At 46.0% G+C, this 14,311-nt stretch overlaps 1 annotated feature.

Annotated features, from left to right (window-relative positions):
* Window positions 9,854–9,943: an enhancer, noted in NCBI's record as "active region_17101". NCBI's record gives its function as "activates an Ori minimal core promoter by ATAC-STARR-seq in GM12878 lymphoblastoid cells {active_cell/tissue: GM12878}" and the evidence as "EXISTENCE:reporter gene assay evidence [ECO:0000049][PMID:35858748]".

Here is a 14,311-nt window from a genome sequence, read left to right on the forward strand (position 1 = left end):
AGCTGTCTGGATGGGCACAAGGAAGGCTTGATCCTGCTTACAGGCTCACTGGGTAAAAGTGAGCAGGTCCCTGAGGCTCACCACATGTTGGCCTTGTCCCAGTAAGGAGAAAAGTGCCTGCCTCTTGCACTTTCCCAGGGAGGAAGGTTCTGGAGCAGGAGTTTTACCCTAGTTTCTGACCAAGTGCCTGCTAATGGTAGTTTCCTAAGTCACATTTTTTAGACTTTTTAAAATTTAGTAGACTTTATTTTTTAGAATAGTTTTAGATTTAAGGAAAATTTGAGCAGATAGCACAGAGAGTTCCCATGTGCCCTCCATATATACATAATGTTCTGTATTATTAACATTTTACATTTGTGTGCTCTATTTGTTATAATCAATGAACCAATATTGATACATTATTATGTACTAAAGTCGATAGTTTCTACCTGATGTCTATTTCTATTTGAGGATCTCATCCAGGGTACCACAGTACATTGACTTGTGGTGCCTCCTCAGATTCCTCTTGGCTGTGACAGTTTCTCAGACTTTTCTTGGTTTTAATGATCTTGACAGTTTTGAGTAGCACTGGCTGGGTATTTTGTAGGAAGCCCCTTTATGGGAATTAGTCTGATGTTTTGTTTCATGATTAGCCTGGGGTTTTGGGTTTTTGGGAAGAGGACCTCAGGTAAAGTGCCATTCTAATGACATCATATCAAAGGCACATGTTACCAACATGATTTATCACTTTTACGTTGACCTTGATCACCTGGTTCAGCAGTGTTTATCTGGTTTCTCCACTGTTAAGGTACTCTTTCCCCACTTTCCTACTCTTTAGAAGGAAGTCACTCTGCCCAGCCCACATGTAAGGAATGGAGAGTTATGTTCCCTCTTCTGGAGGGTACAATATCTACATCAATTATTTAGGATTCTCCTATAGGATTTTTTTTTCTCTTTCCATTTATTCAGTTACTTATATCAGTATGGATATTTATTTTACATTATTTTTGGGTTACAAATCAACACTACTTCATTTTATTGCTTAATTTTTTCCAGCTTTGTTCATTGGTAGCTCTTTCAGTTGGCTCCTGCATCCCTTTGACATATCCCCATTATGGTACGATTTTTTTTTTTTTGAGGCAGAGTCTCGCTCTGTCGCCCAGGCTGGAGTGCAGTGGCTCGATCTTGGCTCACTGCAAGCTCCGCCTCCTGGGTTCATGCCATTCTCCTGCCTCAGCCTCCGGAATAGCTGGGACTACAGGCGCCTGCCACCACGCCTGGCTAATTTTTTGTGTTTTTAGTAGAGAAGGGGTTTCACCGTGTTAGCCAGGATGGTCTCGATCTCCTGACATCATGATCCGCCCGCCTCGGTCTCCCAAAGTGTTGGGATTATAGGCGTGAGCCACAGCGCCCGGCCCATTTTGTTTTGTTTTTTAAGACAGCATACATCTGTTGCCCAGGCTGAAATGCAGTGGCACAATCATAGCTCACTGCAACCTCAAACTCCTGTGCTCAAGTGAACCCTCCTTCCTCAGCCTCCTGAGTAGCTGGGACTACAGGCATGCACCACCGCACCTGGCTAATTAAAAAAAAATTGGGGGCCGGGCATGGTGGCTTATGCCTGTAATCCCAGCACTTTGGGAGGCCAAAGAAGATGGATCGCTTGAGACCAGGAATTTGAGACCAGCCTGGGCAACATGACAAAACCTTGTCTCTACCCAAAATACAAAAAAATTAGCCGGGCGTGGTGGCACATCCCTATAGTACCAGCTACTTGGGAGGCTGAGGTGGGAAGATTGCTTGAGCTTAGGAGGCAGATGTTGCAGTGAGCTGAGATTGAGTCACTGCCCTCCAGCCTGGGTAACAGAGTGAGACCCTGTCTCAAAAACAAAAACAAAGAAAAGAAAAAGAAAAAAGAAAATTGCAGGGGGAGAATTATACATAATTTAGTGTGGTCTTGCTATGTTGCCCAGCAGATCTTGAACTCCTGGGCTCAAGTGGTCTTCCCACCTTGGCCTCCCAAAGTGCTGGGATTACAGGCATGTGCCACCGTGCCCAGCTGTATTGTAGGTTTTTTAAAAAATTCGTTGTTGATCACTTCTTTATTTTCTGGTATTTCAAGATATTCCAAACTCATTTTGTATATTTCTTGCTACAGTCCTACTAGAATCAGACATTTCTTCAAAGAACGCTAGTTCTTTTTATATTGGACAGTGTTACTAGAAACCAAGATCTGGATGCTAAGTGTACTTATAGCTACTGGGATGTTAAGTCACATTTTTAATTTGCTGAAAGCATTTAAGATTGCCTATATTTCTAGTCTCTCCTTAATTCCCTGATAATTCCTATTAAAACTAACTGGTCGCCTCACAGTTTCCCCAAAAGCCTTTGGGGTTTTACTCTTTTTGTTTGTTTGTTTTTTAAGATTTGTCCTCACTTTGTTTAAATCCTTCCTGTCCTTCAAGCTTTAGGCCTCCTTCTGCCACCACCTCCCACCCTACCACCCAGTTTCCTTTTTGACATTGCTGCCTCTTATCTCCTGCTTCAGGAGGCTCCAGCAATGCAAATGCAACAGAAGCCTGATTTATTCTTGGAAACAGTTCCATGAAAACCAAGCAGGAAGGAATTTAGAAAGGAATATAGCAGCTATATAATATCTTTTGCCTCTATTTTTTTAAAATTTAGTTTTGTGGTTTGAACCCAGATAGCCAGACTATCAGTTTTATTAGGGCTTTTTTTTTTTTTTTTTTTTTTGTCTTTCCAAGATTCAGATGGAAGCACCTGGATTGAGTTTTGTGACTCACGGCCAGAGCTGAACTTTGAATCCTGTGCCCAAGCACTGTATTTGTGAAGCAGCAGGAACAGAGAGAAGCAGTGAAGGTGGGCGATGCTTTGAGATCACTTTGTCCAGACTATCTAGTTTTACAGATGTGGAAACTAAGACCCAGGGAAGGGAAGAAATCATACCCAGAGACATATAACTCATATAACTCATTAAAGGAAGAGTTGGGTCTAGAAGAATTTTTTTTTTTTAACTATAGGATCGGCCAGGCTGTGTCTAGAATCTCTTTATTGGTGTTCCAGTGTGCTTTCTGCTGCGGTGTAAGGACTTAAGATTGTTTTCCCTAAGAAATTTGTCTTAAAATCCCCATCCTGTAACCCCGAGGCACCCAATGACATCCTGGTAGAGGGAGCAGCCCAGTTTTTCAAAGATGCATGCATTTTGGACCAGTGAGACCTGAATTGAAAGCCTAGCTCCATCCCTTAACAGCCATCTGATCTCCAGGCAATCTCTCAGATTCTCAGTTTTCTTATCTGTAAAATGGGCATAAGGATGCCTGGGCCACAGGTGTGTTTTATGGCTTAAGCAAAAGCATGGTTATGAAGGCACCTGGAGCATACCAAGCACATAACTGGTGCTCAGCATTTCTTCAAGGATCATTCTGTGGCTTCCCATGTGTATACCTGGTATCCTGAAACAAATAGAAACCTCCTGGGTTACTTTTACTTCCTTTGTGTCTCTACAAAACTGGACACACAACAGGTGTTCAAAAGCCCTTGCTGGATGAAGGAATGCCACAAAGCTCACCCCATAGGGAGACAATGGAGGGGCAAAAGGTGTTTGTGCAGTGTGAAGGAGAAGGAAAACAGGTGAGTGAGGCAGATGGGCGATGGAACAGCTGGGCCAAGCGCTCATTCTACATTCAGACTGAGTACTCTTCAGGGAGAGGGATTGCCTGAGGCTTCCCAGGGAGAGATATGCTGAGCCAGGCCTCTGCCCAGTGGTCAGGGTGGAGACTGGATAAAGAATCAGGGAGCCTGAAGCCCCTGTGCTTTCATCATTTCCAGCCTCCTGCCCCTGCTTGGGGCCTGGGCACGTTCACAGCTGAACAAGATGCGGCAGGAAACCCTGAATCAAGGGGGTGAAGGCATTAATGAAGCTGAGCTGACTTCTGGCTCTAAATTCCTTTCCCTTTGCTTCCAGGCTTGCTGTGGCCTGTTGTCTCTGCCCGGCAGAGTCTGGTGGCTGCTCTCATTTCACATCATATTGCGAGCTGGATGAAAGCAAGAACCAAGGCGGCTCAGCACGCATAAAGGCAAGTCAGAATCTGGAGACCAAGATTTATTGCTGCAGAGATGGGTGCCCTTTTTGTAGCATGACTTTTATGGAAAGGGCAGTTTTCTTTGCATTAAGTTTGTCTGTAAGAGTCAGTATGACCTAGAGCAGGGGCTAGCAAACTTTTTCTGAAAAAATTAGATAGGGAATATAGGCTTTAAGGGGCATGCAGTGTCTCCTGCAAATATTTCAACACTTCTGTTATAGCAGCCAATGTATAGTTGGCAGGACTATACATTATATAATGTATAGATGAACAGATGTGGCTGTGTTCCAGTAGAACTTTATTTATGGACACTAAAATTTAAATTCCATATAACTTTCATGTGTCACAAAATATTAATCTTTTCATTTTTTTCAACTATTTAGAAGTGTAAAAACCCACCTTGGCTTGATGGCCATACCAAAACAAGCCCTAGGTCAGATGGCAGAAGGCGGTCTGCAGACCTGTTCAGGGTACAGCATGGCCTTGGGAGTCAGACAGGCTTGGATTCAAACCCGGCCTCAGCTCTATGCTTGCTCTCCAACCTTGTTGGGTGACTTAATCTCTCTGAATCTATCCATATATAGGGACAATTTCCTATCCATATATAGGGATAATAACGTCTACCTTAGAGGTTGTTAGTGGGCAATAAGTGAAGTTACAAAGAACCTAACATGGACCATTTGAAGTCCTTGATAGGAGGATGTTATTATTATTGCTTCTCTCAACCTCATCCTTAAGAACACTAGTAATGAGAGCTGAAAGCAATATTCTACTCTGCACATCTACCCAGAACCTCTGAAGTCTATTTATAAAGGCAGTCATCATAGGCTTTTTACAAAAACTATAACGCCCTGCTTTTTGCCACAATTAACTCATCTTTTTTGTTCCAATTCACTTCAACTTAACACATGCTCACAAAGCACAACTTTGCACAAGGCTCAGAGTGCAGCAGGATTGGAAAGTTGAACTTGACACAGTTCCTGCCAAAAGATAGGTATCTCTCTAGAAGGGGACATAAGATACAAATCCAAACAACCATAAATCAAAAAAGCATGTGGAATAAGACCTCCAAGAGTGGCAATCATGTCTCCCATTTACTAAGTACCAGGCACTGTACTAAATGCTTTCTTTATATATGTTGATCTTATTATATAACCTCATGAGGAGGGGACTGTTATTATTCCCATTTGATAAGTGGGAGAATGGAGACAGGGAGATCATGAAGGTCCTTGCCAAAGGTCACACTTAAGTGAGCAGAGAACAGAGAATCAGAACAGAGATCCAGACCTGGCTGATGCAGGAGCCAGAACTTTCCCCACTGGCTTCAAGTGCCCCTGGAGCTCAGGAAGTCCATCCTGGCTCTGACGGCTGGGAAAGAGTCACAGAGGGGGCTTTCGAGCTGTCCCTGAAGCCTGGGGAGGTTTACTCCAGGCATGGATGGGAGTAGGGATGGGAGGATTCAGTCCCAGAACAGCGTGAGCAAATATGCTGCAGTGGGAATGTGGAATGCTCTCAGGCGTGTTGGGGGAACAGCAAGCAGCGTGGGAGTGTAGGGTGCATTCCGTACCAGTGTCCTTTCCCTCCGTGGACCTCCGGATGCCTCAGGGAGGGGCGGGGGAGAGGCAAAAGGTCTGATGACTTCACCAGACTTACATAAACAGGAACTTCCTTGCAACAAAGTATGACCTTCTCATTTTAAAACAATTTGCCAGGCAGTGTATTCCACTCTTCAATCTTGCTTTTCTGTCCATAACTCCTCCCCCAACTTCCGGATTCTGCTTTCCTAGTGTGAAGGAGATGCCAAATTATGTCATAAAAACAGTGCTGGGCATAGAAGTGGCACGCGTCTGAACAGGCACTGTGTGACCCTAGGCTGGTCACTTTCCCTCTCTTGCCTCAGTTCCTGCAAACATAAAATTAGGAGTTAGGTGATAACCTGAGTGCTTTCCAGTGATAACCTTCCAAATTATGGCATACTAAGCCTGTCTCAGTAAGGGAAGCAGCCTTCACCTCTAGCTTGGAGTAGGTGATGCCACTTTGTAGCAACATTAAACAACTGCAGTTCCTGGACTTGATGGGGGCTGGGATTAGAATTTCGAGCCTTTAACTTGTCAATGTGCTGCTTAGATAACTTGCTCCTTACTGGAGTTCATGGGAATCCATGTTCTTTGCCCATCCATCCACCAACACATCAACTTTTAATTAATTCATTTATTTATCTACACCTAGTCCCTGGAGCCAGACTGCCTGAGTTTGAATCCTGGCTCTACTAGCTCTGTGACCATGGTTAAGTTACAGAACCTCTCTGTGCCTTAGTTTCTTCTTCTGTAAGACAGGGATAACAGTAGAATCTGCCTTACAGGGTTGTGAGGATTAAATTGGTTCATGTGTGCACACACACACACATAAATAAAATATCAAGTGCTTAAAACCACTCATGGCATGTAGTAAGCATGATATAAGTGTGTACTATTATTGTTATGTTTGAAGCATGTTTTAAGTAATAGTGTGTGCTGGATGCTCTGTTAGCATCTTTTTCTATGAAACATAGCACTCTTCCCTACTGCCTTACAAGGTAGGTGTTATGAGCCTGCTTTTCGTATGAAGAAATGAAGGATTGAAGAGTTGACATGCCTTTTCTGAGATGTGCCATGGACTAGGCTGCAGAGGACAACCAGACACATCAGCAGGGCCCAGGAGGGAGAGGCTGGAAAGAGCGGGCAGATCACTGCCTGCCCCTGTCACCTAATAGCCAGCTCACATGGCTTCCCTGCTCTGCTATCTGGTTCTTGCTGCAACCCAGACTCCTGCTGATGTCTTGTCTTGAACTGTGTAACCTGTCAACACATGAGAATCATTTGCAGCGACTGGGGAGTGACGTGATTCAGGAGCAGGGGAGGGGAGCTCGTGGAGAACAGAAAACTGCTGCTCCATTTTGGAGCTGCCTTTCAGCCTGGCCAAATGGGAAACTTCCTGCTTAGAAACAGTCAGGACATTAATACTCAGATGAGTGAAGACACACATGTCTCCACTAACATCCCAGGCGGATCAGACTGATTATGCCGCACTGTAGTGCAATTTCCTCTTGGTTTTTATTTCTTTGGCTCAACATTGTGCAGATGGTAAGCTCTGCTCACTGAAAATATGGAAATGATAAAATAGAAATATGAGACATTTGGATATCACTTGAGCTGAAACTTGACACTGCAGGTCTGATTGAAAATCCAGCAGGCCTCTTTCAAGACCCTTTACTGTGGCTCCTCGTTTGCTTCAGGAGGCCCCTGACAAACTTGCCCAGTTCTCCCTAAATCCTGCTATTGTTAGCTCTGGCCTGGGCCACCTGCTTTCTCCTCACCAGAGATATTCGGCCAGATGATCCTTACCATTAAAGTCCCAGGATGTGTGTGCATGAGCACACACACACACACACACACACCACATATGCACCACACACATGCGTGCACATAAGTGCACACACCACACATCACATATGTGCACACATACCACACACATGCACCACACGTGTGCACATATGCACATGCCACACCTGTACATGCACACACTGCACGCACACACATGCATACACATAAGCATATACCACATGCATACCATACATCACACACCACACACCATATACATGCATGCACATACAAAATTACATGCATCACACACCACACACATGCATGCACACATACCACACATACATACATCATACCTGCATGTATGCACACACACACACACCACACATACATCCCCACACACAAACACACATGCCTTTTAGGTGCTACCCAGGACTCCCCTTCTAGCTTTAAACTCTTCATGGAGAACTTTCTGCTGTCCACTGAACCTTTAGAGTTTCTCTTTCTTTTCTTTCTTTTTTTTTTTTGAGACTGAGTCTTGCTCTGCCACCCAGGCTGGAGCACAGTGGTGTTATCTTGGCTCACTGCAACCTCCGCCTCCCAGGTTCAAGCGATTCTTCTGCCTTAGCCTCCTGAGTAGCTGGGATTACAGGTGAGTGCCACCACGCCTGGCTAATTTTTGTGTATTTAGTAGAGATGGGTTTTCACCATGTTGGCCAGGCTGGTCTCGAACTCCTGACCTCAGGTGATCCACCCACCTCTGCCCCCCAAAGTGCTGGGATTACAAGCATGAGCCACCGCACCCAGCCACTGGAGTTTCTCTTTCATACTTTCCATGGGACAAAGCACCTTCCTCTGTCCTTTGAGCTCTATCTCCTTCCTCCTCCAGAGCCCAGTTTCCAGAGCACCTCCTCCAGAAAGTCCTCCTTATTTTCCCCATCTTTGGTCAGGCTTCTATTTGCCCTAGTGGCCTGTACCTGTTTTAAAGTCTGCTGTCAACACAGAGATGCAACTTTTTTAAAGTTTCAGGATGCCTTTCTCGTTCTCTAGGCCCTGCTGCACTGGAGCCCGGAGCCGTCACTCCTCTATACTTCTGGTGATTTCCGCATTGATTGCAGATTCCAAGGCAACTTGGGTCTCTGCAGTATCATTGGGGGCCGATTGGAATTCTTGAAACCCTCTTCCCCACCCCACTCTCTGACTAGACCAATTTTAGTTTAATCAAACCTCAAGACTATATTTTCACCTGTTCCCTTTAATAATTAACTTGCTTCGAGGAATCCAAGAGAACCCAGACACAGTGACTGCTGACCTAGTTACTGACCCATCCTAATGACGCCTCTCCCAGAGGTTCATCCTCCGGGCTCTGGCCCATTTCGTGTGAGAAAGTGAACTCCTATTGGGCACTGGTTTTGCTTCTGAAGCCAGGTGGAAATATTGGCCTACCCCCTTGACCCTACTTCTCATAGTGGTTTGGTGGTTAAAGGTCTATAGAGTAGAAAGATTATGCTGGCTTTGCTTTGTTTTAGGTTTTGTGTTTTAATCTCTTTAAACCCCAGTTTTTAATCCTATTGCTTTCAAGTCCTGATCTTGTCAAGGAAGACACCATCAATTGCACTGTTGTTGTACAACTCCAAACCTTCTGGGGCTTATCACTCTCAGAGCTGAGCTGAGGATGCTAAGGGGTCCTCAGGTGTCCTACAGCTGAGGGCAAGGCAAAGGCGTGCAGGCAGTCAGCTCCCCTGCATGGGTGCCATGCGGTCCCTGCAGCCTTGTTTCTCCTAGTTTCTCTAAGGTACTCCTGGGTCATTGCTCTCTCGATTTATTTGGGAGGGCTGCCATAATAAAGCACCATGGACTGGGGGCTGAACAACAGAAATTTATTTTCTCACAGTTCTGGAGGCTGGAAGTCCGAGATCAAGGTGTCAGCAGGGTTGGTTTCTTCTGAGGCCTCCCTCCCTGCCTTATAGATGGCTGTCTTCTCCCTGTGTCTTCACATGGTCTTTTCCTCTATACATGTCTGTGTCCAAATTCCCTCTTCTTTCAAGGACACCAGTCATAGTGGGTTAAAAGCCACCCTGATGATGTCATTTTAACTTAATCACCTCTTTAAAGACCCTATCTCTAAATACATTCACATTCTGAAGTGTTGGAGGTTAGAACTTCAACATAAGAATTTTTGGGGGAAAACACAGTTCAGCCCATAACATTTTCTGCTTTTTAAATACACACTGCCTGGTTTTAGGGCACCCTGAACCTTAATATAGCCTTCCTAGGGGATATTTCCTCTTCAGTAACATGTGAGCAAGAATACTGATCTCTTCCGATTGTTATGAAGGTTAAGTGCATGTGAAGTTTAATATAGCCTGGCTCATAAGTGCTTAGTAAATGTTAGAACCACTTAAGTAAATAAAAATGGTGATGATAATGATGGTGATGATGATGAAAATGAGCACCATTATTATTTGCAGATGTCTTAGTCATAACGAATTTCTTTTAATAGCACCTGATGATCATTTTGCTTGTGTCACTTTCATTTTACTTCTTTCTTTCCAAAAGAGGCTTGAGTGCGGCTGCCCAGCTCCCCAAGACTCAAGCCAAAGCTACTCTCTGTGCCTGCTGTGAGGATTTGAAAGCACTGTGGCAGGAGAGGCCCTGGGCCTGCCCACCACTCCCATCTCCTCTTGGTAACCAGGAAGCCCTGGGGCTCGCTTAGTCACAACTCACTCAGGCATCGTTTTTGACCTTGACACCTTCCCCTGCATTGTGCCAGGTGTCTGGGGCACTGCCAGCTCTCCCAGCCTGCCAAGCTGATTCTCTTCCTTCACTCAAATGACTGGGGAAACCTCATCTCCCCTCCAGCAGGGAGTCTCCCGGGACTGATCACAGGAAAGGTGCTGTGGGCACATAGCTATGTCACCCTCTCGCTATACACATCCGTGCTCGGCATGCACTCCAGGCACCTTCTGATAAAGGCATTCTGCCCAGTAATTTCCTTGCACACACAAGCATCCATGTGTCCATCTAGTTTAACATTTTTAAAAAATCTTCAATTATAAGGCTGAGTCTAATTTCATTCTCCATACATTACATGTACATAAACATGCCCAATGGAGAGGCTGGATCATTACCAAGTTTACCAAGCAGTCACACTTGTGCACTTTCTCTCCCTCCTTCATCCTGTTTCATGCTTCTGTGCCTTTGCATCTGCATTTCTCTGGAAGCACCTCTTCTGCCTTGTCCCTGTGTGAATGCCTGTCCTAAGGCCTAGATCAAGGCTCTAGGAGATGCGTCATGGACCCCAGGCACAGCCAGGACCCTCTGCTTTGATGGCTCCCTTGTGCCTTCGGTGGCATCTTGTCTGTGCTTACCATACTGTACTGTGATTGTCCATTTGTATAGCTTTCTCAGCTGGCCTGGGAGCTCCTCAAGGGCAGGGATGATTCATTCAACTTTGCATCCCCAGTGCCTAGCACAGTGCCTGGCTATAGGTGAGTGAAGCCAGAGAGGAGGGCTCTGGGATCCAGCCATGCTGGGCAGTGCCTTTCATGGCATTTTCTGTTTGGCCTCACCTCTTCCTTTGTCCTGTTTTTAGCCTAATTCCTTTCAAGGCTCTGGCATGGGACTCTGAGCTCATTTTCATGATTGCTTTAAATATTGGGGCTGTTGGCATGCCAACACGGGGACCCACGCTAAGGAGGGAGAGGAATTCTCCAGCTCTCTGGGTCCTGCCGAGACACAAGGAATGTGCCAGAGGCAGGGGAGGTTTTGAGAAAGTGCCAGTGTAGGTCGAACTAAACTGCTTTTTTACCTGGCTTAGGGAGCTAGGAATTTGGGTAGAAGACAAGAAAGTGAGAGGACACAGACGCCTTGGGGGAATACGATGGGGGCAGGGAGGGATGGCATTCCCAGAAGTCCAGGAGGACCCCCAGATGAAAGAGAAAGGGCAGCAGCAGGACAGACGTGGAGATGCAGTGTCTATGCCTGAAAATGACCAGGAGTCCCCTGGAGTAAATGCCTGGACATGAACAGTTCCAGGAGCCACTTCTGCAAAGCAGATAGACAGGAGGAGACTCTGGAAGTCTTGTCATGGAAGAACTAGGACACCACAAACATGAGCTTGTTAGTATAGGGAGGGGCCTCAGAAACCACCTTATGCAGCCTTACCACTTTATAGACAAGAAAGCGGAATCTTAGAGGTGACCAAGACCACACAGCTCATGGTGATAGCACCAGGACTGGAACCCAGGTCTCCTGTTCTCTTTCCAAGGCTCTCAGCCCCTCAAGGGCTGGAGAGGAGCTAGAATTAGGCCAATTTCATAACACCCAACAGGTGTTATAAATGTAATAGATTGCCTAACTTCTGCTTGGTGTTCTTGCTCTATGTCAGGCATAACGTTAAGTAGTTTACATGGTTTATCTTATCTCAGAGTAGCCTTATGAAGTAGACATCCTTATCTCCACCTTAATGATGGGGAAACCGAGGTTCAGAGGCTAAATGATTTGCCTTGGATCAACCAGCCACTGAGCAATGAGGCCCAGATTCTAATTCAGAGACTCATTCTGGAGCTCAAGCTTTTAACAATGATTTTCTGAAACCTGTCTTACCTGGCCTTTACAGATCTCAAGAGTCTAGGTCAAAAGATAGATGGCCTTGGCCAGGCACGGTGGCTCACGCCTGTTACCCAGCACTTTGGGAGGCCAAGGCAGGTGGATCACCTGAGGTCAGGAGTTCAAGATCAGCCTGGCAAACATGGTGAAACCCTGTCTCTACCAAAAATACAAAAATGAGCCAGGTGTGGTGTCATACGCCTGTAATCCCAGCTGCTCAGGAGGCTGAGGCAGGAAAATCGCTTGAACCTGGGAGGCGGAGGTTGCAGTGAGCTGATATCATGCCACTGCACTCCAGCCTGGGCAAGAGAGTGAGACTCTATCTTAAAAAAAAAAAAAGATAGATAGATAAATGGCCTTGAATTTCTAGATAAAAATGCAACATCCCAGCTCTCCTGACAGTGAGACTTGAGGCAGGTAGGTGTGGGCATCTCAAGGAAGTGAGGCATTTTTCTTCCCTGAAAATTCTTCAGTCCAAAAGAGGCCTGTGGTTACGGGGTGTGGTTACGGGGTGGACAGAGGACCTGTGGTGGGGCTGCTAACCCAAGAGTAGGCTTTGAGATGCGGCAGCCCAAAAGAGCAGTCCAGAGGAAGGAGATGAAGATTCTTGACTCACTTTGCTGGTTGGCTGCTGGCTTTAGAGTTCACTTGCCTAAAAGTGGATTCCTAAAGGAGGAAAGCAGCCCTTAAAATCCATAGCATCTTCCATTTGACAGCAACTTCCAGCTTGCAAGGTGCTACCTCGTCTTCTCATTGGATTCTTACAATATGAAGGCAAAGTTATCATTCTCACTTTAGATGAAAACACTGACTCAGAGAAGTTAAGTGACTTGCTCAAAGTCACCCAGCTGGCTAGCAGCAGGGCCAAGGCCGGAACCTAGGTCTCTTGAGTCCTACATGGAAATCCTTTATCTTGACACAACTGTCCATGGACAAAGGAACCAGTAGAGGTGCTGCTAGAAGTTGCCTTGTTGTCTCCGGGGATGTGACCCCATCACAACTCTAGGCTTGCCCTGACTGGACTATACAAAACTCTATTTACTTCGGCACTCATTTTAAGAAAGGCCACATGACACAGTTCTATCTGATAAGGTAGGAATGGGGTCTGCTGAAGAGCCTATGGGAAAGCCTCTCTCGCTCCTAAAGAGAGCCACAGGAAAAGGCAGTCTCTACTTCTCTGATTGTTGTGCCTAGAACATGAGGACTGGGACTGCTGTCGCCAACTTGCCACTTGGAAGAAGCCAGCACACGGAAGAGGGATGCACAAGGAGATGAGCGTCCAGGTCTCTGACGGCATCACCCAGCCAACACTGAGGCCCCAGCTGCCCAGGCTGCACGGGCCAGGCAGCATGCTCAGACTTCCGACATGGCGCGGTATGGAAAATAAAAGGGTCAGACAATCTCAAGTCTCCTCCTTAAGAGTTAAGACAATATCCTCAGAGGGTCCTCAGTGGACTCCCCTCATGGCTTTCTGGCCAGCTCTGGATCCCATGGCTACTCCAAACCAGGCAATAGCGAAGAGCATGGGAGTGCCATTATTGTTTTACCCCAGTCAGGGTGAAAACAGCAAGTGCTCTGTAAACACAACTGTTATTATGTGACAGGCACTGTTCTAAGTGCTTTACATGTATTATCTCGCTTAACAACCTTAACGCTCTAAGAGTACTGCTAATATCCTCATTTTATACATGAGAAAATTGAAGCACAGTTTTTGTTTGTTTGAGATGGAGCCTCACTCTGTCACCCAGGCTGGAGTGCAGTGGCGTGATCTCGGCTCACTGCGACCACTTCCTCCTGGGTTCAAGTGATTCTTTTTTTTTTTTTTTTTTTTTGGAGACGGAGTCTCACTCTGTGTCTCGGGCTGGAGCGCAGGGGCGCAATCTCGGCTCACTGCATGCTCCGCCTCCCAGGTTCACGCCATTCTCCTGCCTTAGCCTCCTGAGTAGTTGGGACCACAGGCACCCGCCACCACGCCCGGCTAATTTTTCTTTCTTTTTTTTTTGTATTTTTAGTAGAGACGGGATTTCACCACGCTAGCCAGGATGGTCTCCATCTCCTGACCTCGTGATCCGCCCATCTCGGCCTCCCAAAGTGCTGGAATTACAGGCGTGAGCCACCGCGCCTGGCCTCAAGTGATTCTTGTGCCTCAGCTTCCTGAGTAGTTGCAATTACAGGAGTGCACCACCACACCTGGCTAATTTTTCTATTTTTAGTAGGGACGGAGTTTTACCACATTGCCCAGGCTGGTCTTGAACTGCA

The sequence above is a fragment of the Homo sapiens genome, chromosome 2, assembly GCF_000001405.40.
Source record: "Homo sapiens chromosome 2, GRCh38.p14 Primary Assembly".
Classification (NCBI taxonomy): domain Eukaryota; kingdom Metazoa; phylum Chordata; class Mammalia; order Primates; family Hominidae; genus Homo; species Homo sapiens.